General features: G+C 37.0%; 1 protein-coding gene across 6 annotated transcripts in view; it reads right to left on the minus strand.

Annotated features, from left to right (window-relative positions):
* ACSM2B (acyl-CoA synthetase medium chain family member 2B) overlaps positions 1-20748 on the minus strand; it is a 40142-nt gene extending 19394 nt beyond the window's left edge. For 4 of the 6 annotated variants that reach the window (XR_001751899.3, NM_001105069.2, XM_047434056.1 and 1 more), the window contains exons 1-3: positions 20588-20748; positions 9050-9234; positions 3618-3828 (exon numbers count right to left, since the gene is read on the minus strand). Coding sequence is in view for 5 of the 6 variants with exons in the window: in NM_001105069.2 (NP_001098539.1) it covers positions 3618-3828; positions 9050-9226 (388 nt within the window). In the remaining variant the exon portion in view is untranslated. Of the gene's footprint in view, positions 1-3617; positions 3829-9049; positions 9235-19802; positions 19838-20587 lie in introns of all 6 variants that reach the window. The other 2 variants (NM_182617.4, NM_001410902.1) reach the window with 2 other exon arrangements.
* Between the last annotated feature and the right edge of the window lie 2607 nt (positions 20749-23355).

The raw sequence follows: 23355 nt of genomic DNA on the forward strand, positions 1-23355 counted from the left end.
GGACTAAGGACTAGGGAGTGAATGAAACCTAGGATTCCCTGGGTTGTCAGAGTCTTAAGGGCCCTACTGAGACAAAGAAAAGAAATTGAATTGCTAATGTCACACTGTTGACAGTCTAAGACACATACAATTCTCCTCACCCACTCTCACCCCTCAAAAAAAATTTTCTACAGGAGTTCGCTGTATTCAAAACTCTCATATGATAATTAAAGAATCATGAGGAAAGGCACTTGGAACTGTCCATGGTCTTGAAACACCAATAGCTCTAGGTCCTGGCAATTTATTTCAACCCTGGGACATTAAATGCATTTTTCTTAGATGAGAGTGCCTTCAGTTTTACATATCTATGTACACACAAAGTATAGTTGTATATATTTATTGGGTACAAAGCGGTATTATAATTTTTGAAGACAATGTGAGATGATTAAATTAAGCTAATTCACATATCCATCACCTCAAGTATTTAACATTTTTTTTGTGATGAGAACATTAGAAAGTTTTGCTCTTAATGATACTGAAATTTACAGTACTGAATTATTAGCTGTGTTTAGCATGCTGTACAATTTATCTTAAAAAATTAGACTTATTCCTTGCACAGATATATCCCATGATTATCACTTTCCTAAATTCTTGTTCTTCTTTACTATTTTAATGAGACTCCTTTGATTTTTAAAATCTTCTGTAGAATAACTAGACTTAGGGCCAGGCATGGTGGCTCATGCCTGTAATCCTGGCACTTTTGGAGGCCAAGGAGGGCAGACTATTAGAGGTCAAGAGTTCAAGACCAGCCTGGCCAACATGGCGAAACCCCAGCTTTACTAAAAATACAAAAATTATCTGGGCTTGGTGGCACACGCCTGTAATCCCAGCTACTCAGGAGGCTGACGCAGGAGGATTGCTTGAACCTGGGAGGCAAAGGTTGCAGTGAGCCAAAATCGCACCACTGCACTCCAGCCTGGACTACAGAGGGAGACTCCATCTCAAAAAAATAAAAGAAAAAGAAAAGAACAGAATAACTACACAGGTTTCATTATTTGTGAAGCTTAAACCACATGCCCGTCCTGTTAAATAGCTTTTAACCTTAGCTCACTTTCTTCCCACTCTCAACACTTTGGGATTCTCACTGCACACCTGTAAATATCCTCAAATGTTTCTCTACCATGGTGGTCAATTGAGACAGACACAGAACAGTAGACACATCTCTTCCTCTGGGTTCTCCTTTCCTTCTGGCTATAATTTCAGTATGTCACCTTTCTCTCTGGCTTGTTCTCTCTTTCCACAGGCTTCCAAGTTCCTGCAATTGGTTTGGTTGCCTCTGATAGTTTCTAATTCCTGGCTGCATTCATGTCTTTCTCTTTACCCACTCTCATGCTCAGCCCATTGTCCCCAGAATATGCGGCGGGTGGGAGCTTTTAGTTGGGATTAGGCTGTGTGCAAGCAGAGGTGGAAACGGCAGTTTGTGAAAGAGGTTGCTGGAGTTTCTTGGGGTTCTTTTTGATACCACTGTACTTCTCATCCTTTTAATATAAAAGTTGATGATTCTCAAATTTCTGTCTCCATCTCAAATTTTAGAGCCTTAAATCCAACTTGTTATCACTTCTTGAACATCACATGGACATCCTGGACTCAACATGCCCAAATTGAACTTGTCATATTTTCCTAACATACCCATACCTCTTTCTATATCTGTGCTCTTCACTCCAGTGAAAGACAGCACCCACTTGCTGAAATGTCTGACTTCTCTCTCTCTCCCTCGCATCTTCTTTGAATAACCCTGTTATTAGTTCCCCCCCAATTGCCTGTTAAATCCACTTATCTCCATCTCTACTACCTCAACCAAACTGAAGCCATCACTAACCGTTCACCTCTTATCTGAGATTTCCAACTCCACTATTGCCTTCCTCATCCCATTCCCTATTGAGCATCCAATATGACCATCCAAACAGAGGATGATCATGTAACTCAATGTATCAATGGTTTGAGTGTCACTCAATCCATCAATCATTTCCCATTCACCACTGGATAAATGTCCACAACTCTTACCATGGACCACAAGGCACTGCCAATATAGCACCTGGCCACCTCTACATGTTCATTCTATTGCCACTACTTTCTTTTATGGCCTGGACTTCAGGCACACAGATATCCTTTTAGGTTCTTTTATAATTTTCAAGCTTCCCTCCCCTGTGGCTTTGAAACTGCCTTTGGAAAAATTATGACACTGAGGGAAATCTGACATAGCTGACTTCATCTTGTTTCCAACCTCACAAGCTATCTATCTTTGCTCATCCCTGGACATAGTCCAAGCTAACTATGGCAGAAATCTAACTTATAGTCTAACTTTAAAACAAAAATGATAATAGCTCCCTCCTGAAACTAACTGTGTCCGTGCTTGGAGATTGAAACTGCCTTTGGAAAAATAACAAATTTGTCACAAGGCTAGAATTATAGTTCAGGAGTCATGGAGCCAGAGGTCACAAGATTTGTAACCTCCCCAATTTCTCCGATAGATTACATCATTATGGTAAACCCTAAGACTGGTATTTGAGGTGTTCTTCAGACCTTGCATTCTGATGGACCAGCTTGCACTACCCAGATCAGTAACTGATACCAAGAAACTAACTCAACCAGTTCTGTGATCTCTGAGGAGTTGACTCAACACAAGAAGACAGCTTCAACCCATGTTTTCATCCCCAGCCAAACCAATCAGCATTTCCTATTCCCTAGCCCCCTGCATGCCAAAGCATCCTTGAAAAACTCTAGTCTCTGATTTCCTGGGGAGGTGGATTTAAGAAACATCCTCCATCCTTCAACTTGGCTGTCTATGCAATTATTAAACTCTTCTCTACCACAACTCCTACTGTTTTCAGTGTTTGGCTTTTCTGGGAAGTGGACAAGAAGAAATCATCAGATAATTACATCTTCACATATGCTGTTCCCTTTGCTTGGCACAAGCCTCTCTATCTCTTGGCAAAATCCTACTCATCCTGCAGATCTCAGCTCAAATATCACTTCCATTGAGACTTAGTTGCTCCTCATATTGGTTAATTCAAGTCTCTTTTTAGAAAAGCATTGGCAAACTTTTTCTGCAAAGAGCCAAATAGTAAATATTTTAGGTTTTGTGGATAAGACACTCTCTCGTTCCAACTACTCAAGTTGCCACTGCAGTGCAAATGCAGCCACATATAATATGGAAACAAGTGGGCATAGCTGTGTTATAATAAAACTTTATTTACAAAAACAAGCTGTGGGCAGGATTTGGCCTGCAGGTCACAGTCTACCAAATTTATTTGTATAGATTTTAATAGAATTCTCATACCACTTATCATAATTCTGATTAAATACTTACATGTGCAATTAATAGTTTAAGAGCTTTCTCCAAAGTTCTGTAAGTCCCATGAATATGTAAACTATGTCATTGTTGTTGTTCACCCTGCATAAGTGCTTGGCACATAGTTTGCTTAAATAAGTGGAAGCAGGGAGAAGTCTTTCTTCATATGAGAGAGGACAGCATGCTCCAAGGCAGAGACTTCTTTTGAGAGAGGTGGCTGCATTTCTCTGCTATCAGTTTTCTTCACAAGGAAGACAGTTCTCTGTCCAGGTAGTCAGTTACCAACCTGCTCGAATGCAGCCCAGGATCACCAGCCACCACTCAGGCACTCGGGGCAGCATCACTGCCACACGATCCCCACGCTGCAGGCCACAGGCTCCCGAGAGGATGTTGGCTGCCTGCTGGCTGTTTTCACTCAGTTCTCTGAAATTCCACATTAATTCCTTCCCCTTCCCATTCACCCACCACAGGGCTGGGCTTGGGAGTCGCTTGCCAGCCTGAGGAAAGAGAAACCCTGTTGATTAGGGGGCATTGGTACACAAGCAGGTAGGATAAATTCCAAGTCTTGGGATTGCCAAGCTGGTGCTTAGTAAGGTTTTTTATCTCAGCACCTCCATACAATCATAAAAAGTATTGAAAACCCTAAAGAGTTGTTATTTATATGAGTTATATCTATCAATATCTACCATAGTAGATATTAAAACAGAATTTTTGTAAATGTATGCTTTTAGAAATAACTGTAATAAACCCATTATATATTAGCATGCATAATTTTTTTATAATGATAAAGTGTACTTTTCAAAATGAAAAAATAATGAGGAAAGTGGCATTATTTTATTTATTGCATCTATTTATTCTGCAATTCCCTTTAATGTCTTAGTAGAATAACATTGGATCCTCTCATCTGATTCTGCATTCACTCTGTTGTGAGTACCAACATGTATCTTCTGGAAAATGCTATTGTATACTCTTGAAAGAATTAGAATAAAAAGGCAAATATCACTTTAGATTTATTTATATATTTATCTCTATCTACTTACTTTTTTTAATTTTGTGGTAAAAATACACATAACATTTCCAGTTTTAACTATTTTTGAGTGTACAGTTCAGTGGCATTAAGTACATTCTCATTGTTATGCAACAATCACCACCATCCATCTCCCGAAGTTTTTCATCATCCAAAACGAAAACTCTGTCCCCGTTACACAATCACCTGTCATCCCCTCTCCCATTAGGCCCTGATAAACACCATTCTACTTTCCTACTCTATGAATTTGACTATTCTAGATACATGATATTGTCTGAATATTTGTCCTCTCCAAGTCTCATGTTGAAATGCAATCCCCAATGTCAGAGGTGGGGCTTGGTAGGAGGTGATTGGATCATGGGGGTGGGACCCTCATGAATGGCTTAGCACCATCCCCTTGGTGATAAATGAGATCATAAGATCTGGTTGTTTAAAAGTGAGTGGCACCTTCTCACTCTCTGTTTTGCTCCTCATCTTGCCCTTTGTTGTGCCTGCTCTTTCTTCATCTTCCAACATTATTGTAAATTTCTTGAGGCCCCCATCAGAAGCAGATGCCAGCACACTTCCTGTACACTGTGCAGAACTTTGGGCCAATTAAATCTCTTTTCTTTGTAAGTTACCTAATCTCAGGTATTCCTTTACAGCAACACAAGAACAGTCCGATACAGAAAATTGGTACCAGAAGTGGGATATTGCTATAAAGATACCTGAAAATGTAGAACTAACTCTGGAACTTGGTCATGGGAAGAAATTGAAGAGTTTGGAAGGCTTAGAAGAGATAGAAAGATGAGGAAAAGTTTGGAACGTCTTAGGCACTGGTTAAATAGTTGTGAACAAAATGCTGATAGAATTATGGACAATGAAATGCAGGCTGACCAGATTTCAAATGGAAATAAGGAACTTTTCGGGAACTGAAGCAAAGGTCCTCCTTCCTATATTTTAGCAAAGAACTTGGCTGCATTGTGTTCATAGCCTAGTGATCTGTGGAAGTTTTAACGTAAGAGTAATGACTTAGGGAATCTGACAGAAGAAATTTTTAAGCAACAGAGCATTCAAGATTTGACCTGAATGTTTGACGAATAGATAATGTTGCATATACATAACAATGGAATATTATTTCAGCCTTAAAAAGGAAGGAAATTCTGACATATGTTACATGCATAAACCTTGAAGACATGCTAAGTGAAATTAGCCAGACACAAAAAACCAAATACTGTGTGATTTCATTTATATAAGGTACTATATTAGGCTGCTCTTGCATTGTTATAAAGGAATATCTGACACTGGGTAATTTATAAAGAAAAAAGTTTAATTGGCTCACAGTTATGCAGGGTGTACAGGAAGCATGGTGCTGGCATCTGCTTCTGGTGAGGGCCTCAGGAAGATTACAGCCATGGAAGAAGGTGAGGGGGGAGCAGGTGCATCACATGGCAAAAGCAGGAACAAGAGAGAGAGCGTGGGGAAGTGCCATGTATGTTAAAACAACAAGATCTCTCATGAACTCACTCATAACGAAGGGGATGGTGCTAAGTCATTCGTGTGGGACCTGCCCGTATGATCCAAATGTCTTCCACCAGGCCCTACCTCCAACTCTGTGGATTACATTTCAACATGAGATTTGGAGAAAACAAATATCCAAACTATGTCACTTTGCTCCTGCCCTTCCAATTCTCATGTCCTTCTCACATTGAAAAATACAATAATCTCTTTTTTTTTTGGTTGGATTTGCCTGATATTTCTTTTTTTATTACTATACTTTAAGTTTCAGGGTACATGTGCACAACGTGCACGTTTGTCACATATGTATACATGTGCCATGTTGGTGTGCTGCACCGCTTAACTCATCATTTAACATTAGGTATATCGCCTAATGTTATCCCTCCCCCCTCCCCCCACCCCATAACAGGCCCAGTGTGTGATGTTCCCCTTCCTGTGTCCATGTGTTCTCATTGTTCAATTCCCACCTATGAGTGAGAACATGCAGTGTTTGGTTTTTTTGTCCTTGCCATGGTTTGCTGAGAATGATGGTTTATTTTTTGTCTATTTGTTGACAGATATTTGGGCTGTTTGACCTTCCAACTACTGTGAATAAAGTTACTGTGAACATGAGTGTACACATATTTCTCAGAGACCCTGATTTTAAGTTTTTTTTGGTGTATACCCAGAGTTGGAATTGCTGAATGGCAATTCTATTTTTTAATTTTTTGAGAAAATGTTATATTGCTTTCCATAATAGCTGTAACATTTTACATACCCATCATGATGCACAAGGGTTCTAATTTCTCTGTTTTATTGTAAAATAGACCCTTCGCATATCCCCTGAAAGAGTCTCATGTATCCTCAGGGGTTCTCAGATCATAGTTTGAGAGTAATGATGCAAAATCAAAGACAAAACATGTTAGCAATTTTATTAGCTATTTCAAAATTTGCCTCCATCAGAGTTATACTACTTTTTGGTAACACATGAGAGTGTCTGTTTCCTCACAGCCTTGCTAATAGAGTTGTTAAAACTTTGTATTTTGTTCTTGCTCATTCGTGGACATAGACCAAGCTAACTATAGGAGGAATTTAGTTTATAATTTAACTTTAAAGCAAGGATGACAACAGTCTCTTCCTGAAACCAACTCCCTTCTTTTTCAGGGACCTAAACCCTTTTGTGAAATTAATGCAATTCCACAGCATTAGAATTATGGTAGATGGTAGGGGCCTCAATTCTGCTAAGCTATAAGCATAGTTAAGCAATAACCAGCCATTGTTCCCTAGCTTGCTTACTGCTTAGGAGTCATGTAACCAGAAGTCACACTTTGTAACTTCACCAGTTGCTTCTGTAGTTAACATCACTATTGTAAAATCTAAGACTGACCTTTGAGATATTTTCCAGACATTTGCATTCTGGAAAACTTACTGACACTACCTAGACCTATGATTCTACAGCAAGGAACTGACTTTACCTGTCCTGTGTCTGCCTCACCCAGAAACAAACTCAGCACTTGAAGACATTTCTCACATCTCTATAATTCCATTCCCAACCAATCAGTAGCACCCATTCCTTAGCCCCCTGCCCTCCAAATTATCTTTGAAAACCCTAGTCTCTGAGCTTTCAAGGGGGCAGATTTGAGAAATATCTCCCATCCTTCCACTAAGATGTCTTGTGATAATTAAACTAATTTTTCTGAAAGAAAAAAACAACCTTTTGTATTTGACTAACAAGATAGGTGCAAAAAAGTTATTTCAGTAAAATTCTCACTTGCATTACTCTTATTATGAGGGAGGGTGAGAATTTTTTATATTTAATGGCCATTTGAGTTCACTTTTTTGTGAACTATCTGTTCATATACTTTGCCTGGTTTTATAATGAATTGCACCTTTTTATTCTTGGTTTCTACAAGCTCACTTTATATTATTAACGTTTTTGCTGTTATATGAGTTGAATATTTTCTCCATGGTTTTCATTAGTCATTTATTTTGCTAATGGTGTTATTTGTGAATTGAGAGATTTTTTGATGTTTATATAGCAAATTTACTTTTATGGATTCAGAATGGTGAGTCATGGTAGTAAGGGCCTTCCTGAATATTTAAAGGGCCTTCCTCAATATTTAAAGGAAGTATAACTTTAAAAAAATCCAGAAATCTAAATTTCTGTTTGAAAATTTTCAATTTTAAAATGTTGAACCTTATTTTTTTTAAGAGTACCCACACCTAGGGCCGTCTTCAGCCTAGAGGCAAGGCATTTGCAATCTCCACACTAAGACTGTTTCATAGTGTAGGGAACTTAGGACATCATGTCATAATCGTGACTCTTTTTGAGCACCAATGTATTAAGTTCATGCTGGTAGCTCCACCCCTTCCCCTACCCCTAGCCAGAATGAATCCTTCCATCCTACAGAAAGAGTCATAGGACTTCAGGTGAAGGCAATTGATGGATCAGCAGTGAATGGATTAAAATTCTAGACGCTCAGGGCTGGGAAGGAAACTCAGAAATTTCTTCATCTTTTTCTTTCTTGGATGTCTCATATTGAAGCCCTTTTGATAACTGTCACCTCGTAGCTATCTTACTTGCACACCTCTATTGACAGGGACACGTGACCTAACTTTCTGGGAAGACTCAGTCTTTGTTCAGTGCTGATTTGCCCCCCACTTTTTTGAGAGAGAATCTCACTCTGTGGAGTGCGGTGGTGTGATCACAGTTCACTGCAGCCTCCAACTCCTGGGCTCAAGCAATCTTGCCACCTCAATCTCCTGAGTAGCTAGGACTGCAGGTATGTGCCACCATGCCTGGCTAATTTTGTTTTAAACATTTTTGGTAGAGACAGAGTCTCGCTGTGTTGCCCAGGCTTGATTTGCTATTATTAGATTCAAACCCGCCTCTTCTACGACCCCAGACCAAAAGTCCTCATTTCACCCTGGGAGGTCACAACAGAGCATGTGCAGTCTACATACAGTGTAAACAAACTGTGTGTTGGCTGCCTGGGAGTTACCAGGTTGCCACACTCCTGTGCCTTTCTTCCTTCCAAGCTCATGCTGTCTCTTTCCCATACCATACTGCCTTCATGGAAGATGAGTGTCTTGTCCATAGCTTATTACAGTGCCTTACATGTAATAAGTACTTAACAAATATTTACTGAATTAATGGATGAATTTTAAAAGTCAACAAAATTGTCTCACTCTGTGCCTCTTTTCCATCCCATTACCTTCTCCATGTCAGCCCAGTGATCCAACACATCACTAGCAAAGTTAAACTTGGCCGGCACTTCCTGGTGGCCCCACTGCAGGGACACCAGTTGCCTACTATTAATGTAGAGAGTGCGGCTGGACATCTGAGTACCCCACAGGGTGCAAAGTCCCTGAACTTTTCGCAGCCAATGCATGTTCAGGCCTGTAAAAGAAAGAAGAGACACAGGTAAGAGCTTCTTTAACAGATTGCTCTACTGATCATCAGCGGCTTCAGGAGATTCATCCCAACCTTATAGGATTCTTCCCAGGAATTAATTTGCTGTAGTTATGAGTAAATTGGCACTCTGCATCTGTTTCAGTCTCCTTGTGGGGTGCTGTTTTCTAAAGGCATAAGAGGATACAGACCCAGTCCTAGATCCTACATATTCAACACTTCTGACAGTTTTGTTAACACCCATTTCCATATAATAAATCCCCTTGTGCTTAAAATACAGTGGGTCATAGATGGGATAGTTGTTCCCAGCAATTCACTCCCTTTCCGTTCTAGGATTATAAATCCCCATTCATTTTTAAGTGACTACCCAGTGCATTTAGGAGGAAGAATATGTATCCACCTCTCATTGACTTTGGCTTGCTCAAGAGATATGCTTTGGTCAATGAGATGTGAGTGTCTGGGATTCTACGGTTCATCAGAAACTCTCACATTTCTCCCCTCTGCATGAGACTTGCATAACCCAGATCATGCTGTACCTTCAGACTGGGACCCAGAACATCAAGAAATGTGGAGTTGAGCTGAGCCTAGCATGGCCACTAGCAACACACAGACCCATAGGGGGAAAATATGCATGACTAAAAGCTACTAAGATGTATAGGGTGTTTGTTACTGTAGCAAATGTTAACTAATACAAGTAGCATCCTTTTCTTTAAATTGAATCTGGACTGATACATCCTAAATCGCAGGTCCTATCCATCTAGTGCACAGGACCTAACACAATCACTTTAGAAATTACAGCTGTCATAATTGTTGTTTCTATATAAGTTCTTTATTGGTGATTTGTGACATTGTTGTGCACCCATCACTCGAGGAGTATACACTTAACACTTACAGTATACACTTAACAGTACACACTTAACCCACTTTGTACCCTTTTATTCCTCACCTCCTTCCCGTCATTTCCCCCAACTCCTCAAAGTTCATTGTGTCATACTCATGACTTTGCAACAATGTATAACTTAGCTCCCACTTATGGCTGAGAACATATGATGTTTGGTTTTCCATTCCTGAATTACTTCACTTTGAGCGATGGTCTCCAATCCCATCCAGGTTGCTGCGAATGCCATTAAGTCATTGCTTTTTATGGCTGAGTAGTATTTCATTATATATACATATATGCATACTATATATGATACTATAAATAATATATATACTATGTATGTATTATATAGTATATATCGAAAAAATATAAAAATTCTATTTTTATATATATTTTTGTTTATATAATATATATATATGTAATAAACGTCACACTCCTGTGCCTTTCTTCCTTCCAAGCTCATGCTCTCTCTCTCCCATACCATACTGCCTTCATGGAAGATTATATATATATATATATATATATATATATATATATATAGACAGATATATAGATATATAAATATATATCCATCAGCTTGGAATGAAGAAAGGCACAGGAGCATGGCTAAAAATATATATCTATATAAAATATATATACTACATTATATGTGGATATATTATATATCATATATGGGTATTATACATTTATATTGTATATAACATATTATATAATATATAATGTAATATTATATATTATATAATAATACATATACTATATCTATATATTATATTACAAATATGTTATATATACTATATAACTATATACTATATATAGTATATAAGGAGATATGTTATCTATAAATATATAATATGTATATATCTACATATAGTATATATACTATATATAGTATATATATACTATACTATATATATGTATATATAGTATATACATATAGTATATACTATATATAGTATATATATAGTATATATAGTATATACTATATATAGTATATACTATATATACTATATATAGTATATATAGATATATAGATACAATATTTTGAAATATATAATATATAATTTTTATACATTTTTATATCTTTTATATATATACTATATATAGACACACTATATACTATAGTATATCTCTATATATAATATATGATACACATTATATATAATAGTATAGTTATATATATCTGTACATACCATACTATTATATATCATATATATTATATATTATATATTATATACTGTTATATATTATATATATCTGTGTATACACCATATTGTTATATCTATAAATTCACTCAGAGTCAGAACAAGACATGAATGCTCACTCTTACCACTTAGATCTAGATATATATAATATCATAATATATATAATAGTATAGTATATATAGATATAGATATAATATATAGTATAATAAGATTATATATTATATATAATACTATTATAACATATTATACTATTATATTATATATTATACTATATACTATATATAATATATAGTGTAATATATAATATATAATATATAGTATAATATATAATATGTAGCATAATATATAATGTATAGTACAATATATAATATGTAATATACAGTATAATATTATATATAAATATATTATATATTATATATTATATAATATATAGTATAATATTACATATACAATATATTATATAATATATAATATAGTATATTAATATATAATATATAGTATATTATTATATAACATATAATAATAGTATAACAGTATATATAAATAATATATAAAATATATAAATAATATATAAATTATATAAATAGTATATAATATATAAATATAAATTATATAAATTATATATAAAAATATATAAATAATAATATAAGATATATAATATATAATATATAGTATATTATATCTATATCTATATATACTATGCTATTATATATATACTATACTATTATATATATCTAGACCTAAGTGGTGAGAGTAAGCATTCATGTCTTGTTCTGGTTCTCAGAGTGAATTTATATATATAATAGTATAGTGTATATACAGATATATATAATATATAATATATATGATATATAATAGTATGGTATGTATAGATATATAAAACTATACTATTATATAATATATTTTATATATTATATATAGATATATACTATACTATTATATAGTGTGGCTATATATAGTATATATTAAATATATAAAAATATATAGAAATTTATATATTTGTACATATTTAAAAATATTTTATATATAAAATATTCACGTATTTTTACATATATTTATATTTTACATAATATGTATTGCTACACTCCTGTGCCTTTCTTCCTTCCAAGCTCATGGTGTCTCTCTCCCATACTATACTGCCTTCACAGAAGATGATATATATATACATATTATATATATGTTATACGTTCATGAGCTTGGAAGGAGGAAAGGCACAGGAGTGTGGCAAAATATATTATATATATTATATAAAATATAAATATATGTAAAAAATGTATTTTATATGTTTTATATATACTATATATAGCCACACTATAGAACATATAGTATATATAGATATATATAAAATATATACATACTATTATATATTATATACAATTATATAATGTATATAATATATCATATATCATATATATCACATATTATATATTTATATAAACTATACTACTATATATAAATATTTATATATTTATAAAAATATATAAATATTTTATAAATGAATACAAGTTTCTTTACTTGATGATTGACAGGCATTTGGGCTGGTTCCATATTCCTGTAATTGCAAATTGTGCTGCTATAAACATGCATGTGCAGTGACTTCTTTCGTATAATGACTTATTTTTCTCTTGGTAGATACCCAGTAGTGGGATTGCTGGATCAAATGGTAGTTCTACTTTTCGTTCTTTGATGAATTTCCAGTTTTCCACAGTGGCTGTACTAGCTTACATTCCCACCGGCAGTGTAGAAGTGTTCCCTTTTCACCACATCCACACCAACATCTATAATTTTTTTTGTTTTTTTATAATGACCATTCTTGCAAGAGTAAGGTGGTATAGCATTGTGGTTTTGATTTGCATTTCCCTGATCATTAGTGATGTTGAGCATTTTTTCATATGTATGCTGGATCTTCTTTTGAGAATTGTCTATTCGTATCCTTAGCCCACGTTTTTTATGGGATTTTTTGGGCTTTTTTTACTTGCTAATTTGTTTGAGTTCCTTCTAGATTCTGAATATTAGTCCTTTGTCAGATGTATAGATTGTGAAGATTTTCTCTCACTCCATGGGTTGTCTGTTTACTTTGCTGACTGTTCCTTTCGCCATACAAAAGCTCTTTAGTTTACTTAAGTCCCATCTATTTATCTTCATTTTTGTTGCATTTGCTTTTGGGTTCTTGGTCATAAAATCTTTGCCTAAACCAATGTCTACAAGGGTTTTTCTGATGTTATCTTCTAGAATTTTTATAGTTTCAGGTCTTAGATTTAAGTCCTTGATCCATCTTGAGGTGGTTTTTGTATAAGGTGATATATGAAGATCCAGTTTCATTCTCCTACATGTGGCTTGCCAATTATCCCAGAACCATTTGTTGAATAGAGTGTCCTTTCCCCACTTTGTGTTTTTGTTTGCTTTGTCGAAGATAAGTTGACTGTAAATATTTGGGTTTATTTCTGGGTTCTCTATTCTGTTCCTTCTGTTCCATGGTTCTACGTGCCTATTTTTATACCAGACCATGCTGTTTTGCTGACTATGGCCTTATAGTACATTTTGAAATCAGGTAATGTGATGCCTCCAGATTTGTTCTTTTTGGATAGTCTTGCTTTGGCTATGATGACTCTTTTTTTGGTTCCATATGAATTTTAGGATTTTTTTCTCTAGTTCTGTGAAGAATGATGGTGGTATTTTGATGGGAATTGCACTGAATTTGTATATTGCTTTTGGCAATATAGTCATTTTTACAATATTTATTCTACCCATCCATGAGCATAGGATGTGTTCCCATTTGTTTGTGTCATCTATGATTTCTTTCAGCAGGGTTTTGTAGTTTTCCTTGAATAGGTCTTTGGTTAGGTATATTCCTAAGTATTTTTTTTGCAGCTATTATAAAAGGGGTTGAGTTCTTGATTTAATTCTCAGCTTGGTTGCTATTAAAGTATAGCAGAGCTACTGGTTTTTGTACATTAATTTTGTGTCCTGAAACTTTGCTGAATTCATTTATTAGTTGTAGGAGTTCTTTGGAGGAGTCTTTAAGGTCTTCTAGGTATACAATCATATTAACAGCAAACAGCAACTGTATGACTTCCTCTTTACCAATTTGGAGGACATTTATTTCTTTCTCTTGTCTGATTGATCTGGCTAGGACTTCCAGTACTATACTGGATACAAGTGGTGAGAGTAAGCATTCATGTCTTGTTCTAGTTCTCAGAGGGAATGCTTTCAACTTTTCCCCATTCACTATTATGTTGCCTGTGGGTTTGTCATAGATGGCTTTTATTACATTAAGGTATATCCATGGTATGCTGATTTTGCTGAGGGTTTTAATCATAAGAGGATGCTGGATTTTTGTCAAATGCTTTTTCTACATCTATTGAGATAATAATGTGATTTTTGTTTTTAATTCTGTTTATGTGGTGTATCACATTTATTGACTTGTGTATGTTAAACCATTCCTGCATCCCTGGTATGAAACCCACTTCATCATGGTGGATTATCTTTTTGATATGCTGTTGGATTCAGTTAGCTAGCAGCTAATTAAGAATTTTTGCATCTATGTTCATCAAGGATATTGGTCTGCAGTTTTCTTTTTTTGTTACATCCTTTTCTGGTTTGGGTATGAGGGTAATACTGGCTTCATAGAATGATTTAGGGAGGATTCCCTCTTTATCTTGTGGAATAGCGTCGATAGGATTGGTACCAATTCTTCTTTGAATGTCTGGTAGAATTCAGCTGTGAATTCATCTGGTCATGGCTTTTTTGTTGTCGTTGTTGTTGTTGTTGATAATTTTTGTATTACCATTTTAATCTCGCTGCTTGTTATTGGTCTGTTCAGGCTTTCTAATTCTTCCTGATTTAAGCTAGGAGGGTTGTATCTTCCCAAGAATTTATCCATCTCCTCTAAGTTTTTTAGTTTATGTGCATAAAGCTGTTTGTAGTGCCTTGGATGATCTTTTGTATTTCTGTGGTATCAGTTGTAATATCTCCCATTTCCTTTCTAATTGAGCTTATTTGGATTTTCTCTCTTCTTTTTTTTGGTTAATCTTCCTAATGGTCTATCAATCTTATTTGTCTTTTCAAAGAACCAGATTTTGTTTCATTTATCTTTTGTATTTTTTTATCTCAATTTCATTTAGTTCTGCTCTGATCTTGGTTATTTCCTTTCTTATGCTGGGTTTGGGTTTGATTTGTTCTTGTTTGTCTAGTTCCTTGAGGTGTGGCCTTAGATTGTCTATTTGTGCTCTTTCAGACTTTTTGATGAAGGCATTTAAGGCTATGAACTTTCCTCTTAGTACCATCTTTGCTGTATCCTAGAAGTTTTGATAGCTTGTGTCACTATTGTCCTTCAGTGTGAGAAATTTTTAAATTTCCATCTTGATTTCATTGTTGATCCAATGATCATTCAGGAACAGGTTATTTAATTTCCATGTATTCATGTGATTTTGAAGATTCCTTTTGGAGTTGATTTCCAATTTTATTCCAAGGTGGTCTGAGAGAGTACTTGATATAATTTCACTTTTCTCAGATTTATTGAGACTTGTTTTGTGGCCTATCATATGGTCTATCTTGGAGAAAGTTCCATGCACTGATGAATAAAATGTGTATTCCATGGTTGTTGGGTAGAATGTTCTGTAAATATCTGTTAAATTCATCTGTTTTACGGTACAGTTTAAATCAATTGTTTCTTTGTTGACTTTATGTCTTGATGACCTGTTTAGTTCTGTCAGTGGAGTATTGAAGTCCCCCACTATTATTGTGTTGCTGTTTATATTATTTCTTAGGTCTAGTAGTAACTGTTTCATAAATTTGGGAGCTCCAGTATTAGGTGCATATATATTTAGAATTGTGATGTCTTCCTGTTGGACAAGACCTTTTATCATTACATAATGTCCCTCTTTGTCTTTTCTAACTGCTGTGGCTTTAAAGTTTGTTTTGTCTGTTATAAATATAGCTACTCCTGCTTGTTTTTGGTGTCCATTTGCATGGAATGTCTTTTTCCACCCCCTTACCTTAAGTTTATGTGAGTTCTTGTGTTAGATGAGTCTCTTGAAAGCAGTAGATACTTGGTTGGCATATTCTTATCAATAATGCAATTCTGTATCTTTTAAATGGAGTACTTAGGCCATTTACATTCAACATTAGTATTGAGATGTCAGGTACTATTCCATTCATTGTGCTATTTGTTGCCTGTGTAGCTTGGGTTTTTTTCTTTATTGTATTTTTGTTTTATAGGTCATGTGAGGTTTATGCTTTAAAAAGGTTCTATTTTGATGTGTTTCCAGGATTTGTTTCAAGATTTAAAGCTCCTTTTAGCAGTTCTTGTAGTGCTGGCTTTCTAGTAGTGAATTCTCTCAGTATTTCTCTGTCTGAAAAAGACTGCATCTTTCCTTCATTTATGAAGCTTAGTTTCACTGGATACAAAATTCTTGGCTGATAATTTGTTTTTAAGGAGTGTGAAGATAGGGCCCCAATCCCTTCTAGCTTGTAGGATTTCTGCTGAGAAATCTGCTGTTAATCTGACAGGTTTTCCTTTATAGATTACCTGGTGCTTTTGTCTCACAGCTCTTAAGATTCTTTCCTTCATCTTGGCTTTAGATAACCTGATGACAATGTGCCTAGGCAATGATCTTTTTGCAATGAATTTCCCAGGTGTTCTTTGAGCTTCTTATATTTGGATGTCTAGGTCTTTAGCAAGGCTGGGAAAGTTTTCCTTGATTATTTCCTTGAATACATTTCCCAAACTTTTAGATGTCTCTTCTATCTCAAGGATGCCAATTATTCTTAGGTTTGATCATTTAACACAATCCCAAACTTCTTGGAGGCTTTGTTCATTGAAAAATTTTTTTTTCTTTGTCTTTGTTGGATTTGGCTAAGTCAAAAATCTTGTCTTCAAGCTCTGAAGTTATTTCTTCTGCTTGTTCAATTCTATTGTTGAGGCTTTTCAGTGCGTTTTTCTCTGTGTTCTTTATTTCCTAAAGTTATGATTGTTTTTATGTATGCTATCTATTTCACTGAAGATTTCTCCCCTCATAACTTGTATTTTTTTTTTTTTCCTTAAATTGGACTTCACCTTTTCTGGTGCCTCTTTGATTAGCTTAATAATTGCCCTTCTGAATACTTTCTCAGGTAAATTAGGAGTTTCTTCTTGGTTTGGATCCATTGCTGGTGAGCTAGTGTGATTTTTGGGGGGAGGTGTTAAACAGCCTTGTTTTATCATATTCCCAGAATCGTTTTCCTGGTTCCTTCTCATTTGGGTAGGCTATGTTAGAGGGAAGATCTGGGGCTCAAGGCTACTGTTCAGATTCTTTTTTCCCATGGGATGTTCCCCTGATGTAGTACTCTTTCCCTTTTCCTAGGGATGTGGCTTTCTGAGAGCCAAACTGTACTGATTGTTATTTCTCATTATCTTGCTTGGCAACTGCCTCAGGGGAGGCCATCACTATTGCCTCAGGCAGCACAGAGTTTACCTCCTCAGACAAAGGTGGAAAGGCTGATGGCAGCATGGGTTAGGGAGAGAATGCTGTCACTACTGGGTGGGGAGGAAGTTGTTTCTTCTGGCAAAAAAAGTTCATTGGAGTTTACAAAGTCAGTGTCCCCAGCTTCACCAGTGTCCTCCCATACCTCCCCATTCCAAGTTGCAGGGTCTCATTCTTTTCCAATCTATCAGGGGAACCAGCCCACAATATTTGAACATAGGTTCTTTCTATTTTTCCTAAGTGTCGGCCGGTCTGAGAAATAAAGAGAACGAGTACAAAGACAGAAATTTTACAGCTGGGCCTCTGGGGCTGTCATCACATAGTGGTAGGACTATGATGGTGACCCCGAGCAGCAAAACCAGCAAGTTTTTATTAGGGATTTTAAAAGAGGAGAGGGTGTACGAACAGGGAGTAGGTCACAAGGATCACATGCTTCAAAGGGCAGTAAAGATCACAAGGCAAAGGCAAAATTAGAATTACTGATGAGGGTCTATGTCCTGCTGTGCACACATTGTCTTGATAAACATCTTCACAGGAAACAGGGTTTGAGAACAGAGAACCACTCTGACTAGAATTTACCCGGCTGGAATTTCCCAATCCTAGTAAGCCTGAGGGTACTGCAGGACACCAGGGCGTATTTCAATCCTTATCTCAACCGCATAAGACAAACACTCCCAGAGCGGCCATCTATAGACCTACCCCCAGGAATGCATTCCTTCCCCAGGGTTCTTCCATGCTGGGAAAAGAATTCAGCAATATTTCTCCTACTTGCACATCCTTCTATAGGCTTTCTGCAAGAAGAAAAATATGGCTCTATTCTGCCCGACCCCGCAGGCAGTCAGACCTTATAGTTATCTTCCATTGTTCCCTGAAAATCACTGATATTCTGTTCTTTTTCCGGGTATACTGATTTCATATTGTTCAAACACACATGTTTTACAATCCATTTGTGCAATAGTAGTCCTGAGGTGAATTACATTCTGAGCTTATGAAGATAACAGGATTAAGAGATTAAAGTAAAGATAGGCATAAGAAACTATAAGAGTGTTAATTGGGAACGTGATAAATGTCCATGAAATCTTCACAATTTATGTTCAGAGATTGCAGTAAAGACAGGCATAAGAAATTATAAAAGTATTAATTTTGGGAAGTGATAAATATCCATGAAATCTTCACAATTTATGTTCTTCTGCCTCAGCTCTGGCCGATCCCTCCATTCAGGGTCCCTGACTTCCTGCAAAACAATCAATGCCCTCACTTTAACAGTAGATACTTGGCGAGGCTGTGCATGGTGAGGCTGTGCATGCACCTTTCATTGCAGGTCAGCCACTAACATGATAAGAGCTTATGTCTATTTTTCCACAATTTCAGTTCTTTCTCTACAGGAGATTAGACTCTCACTCAGGGCAATCTTGGCAGATTTGAGGCTCAGTATCTGCTTCTGAAGCTGGGAGATAGAATCCCCGAGTTCATCATTTTCTTTCATCACTTTATCCACTGAACTTAGGAGCAACCAACCAGCTTCATTATGTTCCTTAGTTCTCCACATATGGTCAAAGGTATGATGTATAGGGTCACTAAACTCCTTGCCTCTCATGAGCAATGAATCAGGAGTGTCAAATGCATTTATTTTGTATAACTCTTTAAACAGTTCACACCAAGGGCTATCAGTCTTCTCCATACTATTAGAATTAGAGTCCTTAGTATTTTGGGGTCTAATCATATTAAGGCACCAACTCCAGAAACCCCAAAACCAACAAAAGAACTCCATCCTTAATATTCTTTTCCTCTAGAACCACTTCTGGTACCAAAATCTGTATTAGTCAGGGTTCTCTAGAGAAACAGAACTAATGGAATATATATATTTTATAAACTCATATGTATAAGTAATACATATAAACTCATATATATAAGTATATATATGAGTTTACTAAGTATTAACATATGTATGTGTGTATATATATATACACAACTGTATATATATATACAGTTTATTCAGTATTAACTCACATGATCACAAGGTCCCACAATAGGCCATCTGCAGGCTGAGGTGCAAGGAGAGCCAGTTTGAGTTCCAAAACTGAAGAACCTGGAGTCTGATGTTCAAGGGCAGGAAGCATCCAGTACGGAAGAAAGATCTAGGCTGGGAAGCTAGGCCAGTCTCTCTTTTCATATTTTTCTGCCTCCTTATATTCTAGTCATGCTGGATTAGGTGGTGCCTACCCAGATTAAGGGTGGGTCTGCCTCTCCCAGCCCACCGACTCAAATGTTAATCTCTTTTGACAACACCCTCACAGACACACCCAGGATCAACACTTTGTATCCTTCAATTCAATCAATTGACACTCAGTATTAACCATCACAGTGTCTGACATTTCTGTCTCCTTTTTTTCTATGGAATAAGAATTGAAGATTACTGTACCAGCTCCTGAGCAGAACTACACATTGCCTTTGTACCTGCTGGTCCCTCTCTTTTTCCATAATAAGCTCTTCTTCATTCTTCTGGTCTCACCTCCTCTGGGATTCATCCTTCTCTGACCACCACCCAACTACCAGCCCCCTGTTACCACCTTTTTCCAGCTGCCCTCGTCTCTCCCTGTTGCTGCCATAAACGTGCCTTTTCCTCTGCCCAGTGTTTCCTCCTAAGACTTGGCAGGTACTGTCTTTCATGGTCCCTAGGAATTTCTGCTTTTCTGTGAGGATTTTTGCTCTTCTCACCAGCTGTGACTCTAAAAGATTGGTGAGGTTATCATGGATTATGACCCCATCAGCCCATTCCTTGAAACAGTGCTCACCTGCCAAGTCCTCTCAGGATGTCTTTCTGGAGAGAGCTTCGTCCACCCTCCTCTCCAGCCAGCAGCTCCAGAACTCCTACAGCCTTGGAAGAGAGCACAGTAACTCAAGCAGACAGCTTCAGAATCCCTGCACTGTCGGAAAGAGAGCTCAGCTAATCATTGACAGTGGATAACTTTGGAGTCTTACAAAGGGTAACAGCAGTCCTCCTAGCCAAGTTTATGGACATTACAACATTAGAGCATTTGAGGTCAACTGGACTTGCACTTTCAATCCAAGGGGCATGAAGCAGGTTTATGCCCAGGACTGACAGAAAATTATTGCTTCAACCCAAGAGAGAGAAATGGAGCTCACATAGGCTTGATGAACACTCCTTTAATTCTTTGTTTTGCTTGGTTCCAGCATACCACTTTTGCCTGGTTTTCCTCTTGCTTTCCTTCTCTTTTGCTGATTCCTCCTCATCTTTATCCACGTTCACTCTGTACATTATCTCATCAAATGTCATAGCTTGGATACCATGTGGCTTGCCAATGGCCCCCACACGTGTGTATCCAACCTGGTTTTCTCTCCTGCATCCTCATCTTCCTGACTTCTCCACCTGGATATCTAACAGGCATCTCAAACATACTTTGTCCAAAGCTAAGAGGTTGATCACATCCTTCCCTGGCCACTCTCATTCCAGGTATGGTTTTATCCATCTCAGCAAATGTCACCCCTATTCCTCTAGTTCTTCCAACATCAAATCTTAGAGACTGCCCTGACTCTTTTCTTTCTCACATGGATGTGAAAAAGCCATCAGATCCACCTGCAGGCTACACTCAGAGTCTGACCCATTCTCTTCCCTGTTCCAACCCAACCCAACACTGTCCAAGTAAGCCCAAAACTCAACAGGGAAAAAAACTCTTTATATCTCTTCATATTTATTTTATTTTGAAATAGTGTCTCACTTTGTTGCCCAGGCTGGAGTGCAGTAGTCTGATCACAGCTTATTGCAACCTCAATCTATCGTGCTCAAGCAACCATCCCACCTCAGCCTCCTGAGCAGCTGGGATTACAGGCACATGCCATTATGCCCAGCTAATTTTTTAACGTTTTATAGAGACGTGGTCTCACTATGTTCTCCAGGCTGGTCTTGAACTCCTGAACTTAAGTGATCCTCCCATCATGGCCTCCCAAAGATTACAGGCATGAGCCACCATGCATGGCCAACATTGTCTTATAGCTGGTATCAGCCCATGCTTCAGCTCTCTCAGGCTAGAGTTGCAAATTGGTGATCCTACAGTTCTGTGTCTTGGGGGTGGCCCCACTCCCATGGCTTCATGAGGCATTTCCCTAGAGGGAATTCTTTGTAGAGGATCTTACCACCAAGCATCTATGGCCCCTACATTCTGGGTGCCTGCAGAATTAATACCATTCTGTCTTTGTTAGTCTTCTGGGCCTGTGATGGGAGGAGCAGCCCCAAAGATTTCTGAAATGCCTTTGGAACCTTCTTCCTATTATCCTATTAGCACCAGGCCCCCTTTTGGTCATGCTTTAGCAGAGTTGTTCTGACACTTTCTTGGACTCCTCTCCTGAAAATTCTCTTTTCTTCTCTACCACTATGTGCAGGCTGATAATTATCCAAATTTTAATGCTCTTCTTCCCCTTTAATTATAAACACAGGCTTTAGGTCATTCCTTTGCTGTCACAATTTAACATAAGCTGTTAAAAGTAACCACATCACTTCTTGAGCACTTTGCTGCTTAGATATCTCTTGCATCTGACACCGTAGGTCATCACTCTTAGTTCAGCCTTCCACAAAGCCTTAGGGCATGGACACAGTGCACCCAAGTTCTTTGCTACAGAGTAACATGGGTGAATTTTGCTCCAGCTTCCAATGAGTTTCTCATTTCTATCTGAGATTTTTTGGCATGGCCTGTACTGTCTATATTTCTATCAGCATTGTAAAAAATTTAAATTTAGGACCTTCCAAATTTATCATGCAAAAGGGAAAACTTAAGGCCTGAAAGCTGACTGAGGTAACACAACTTCCCCTGATTCTGGTGCATGACCGTTGCTTTCTGACCTTTGTGTTGAGATGTTATACATTAACCAGACTCTTCTTTATTCAAAACTGCGCTAAACAAAGTGAAGATAGAGACCCTTGTGACTGTCTCCTTTTAATAGAATGTAAAACTATCCCTTTAGCGTGTAATCAAAAGTAGCCAATGAAATCTTATATCTGTATGTTAACCTTTTTTATGGAAAATGTTGTAATTTTGTTCAGCAACTTCATTTTGCTGGTATAAGCAATCCTCATTTTCCCCTACACCAGGAGCACAACACTGCTCACCATTCTTTGGAATAGCTGTGCTCCCTGGATGGCCGCACTCATACTTTGTGCTTGAATGAGCTCTTTTAACTAGATGCTGACTCTTTTGACTATTTTACGTTGACAGCATTTTGGTCACAACCATTTAACCAATCTCTAAGAAGTTTCAAACTTTCCCTCAACTCTTTGTCTTCTTCTGAGCCATCCAAACTCTTCCAACCTTTTCCATTGCCCAGTTCCAAAGCTGCTGTCATATTTTCAGGTATCTTTATAGCAATACCCTACTCCCTGGCAACAATTTCCTGTTGTAGTCCATTTTTCATTGCTATAAAGAAATATCTGAGGCTGGGTAATTTATTTCAGAAATGTTTATTAGGCCCATGATTCTGATAGCTGGAAATTTCAAGATTGGGCATCTGCAGCTGGCAAGGGCCTCGGGATGCTTCTATTCATGGTAGA

Source organism: Homo sapiens, chromosome 16, assembly GCF_000001405.40.
Source record: "Homo sapiens chromosome 16, GRCh38.p14 Primary Assembly".
Lineage (NCBI taxonomy): Eukaryota > Metazoa > Chordata > Mammalia > Primates > Hominidae > Homo > Homo sapiens.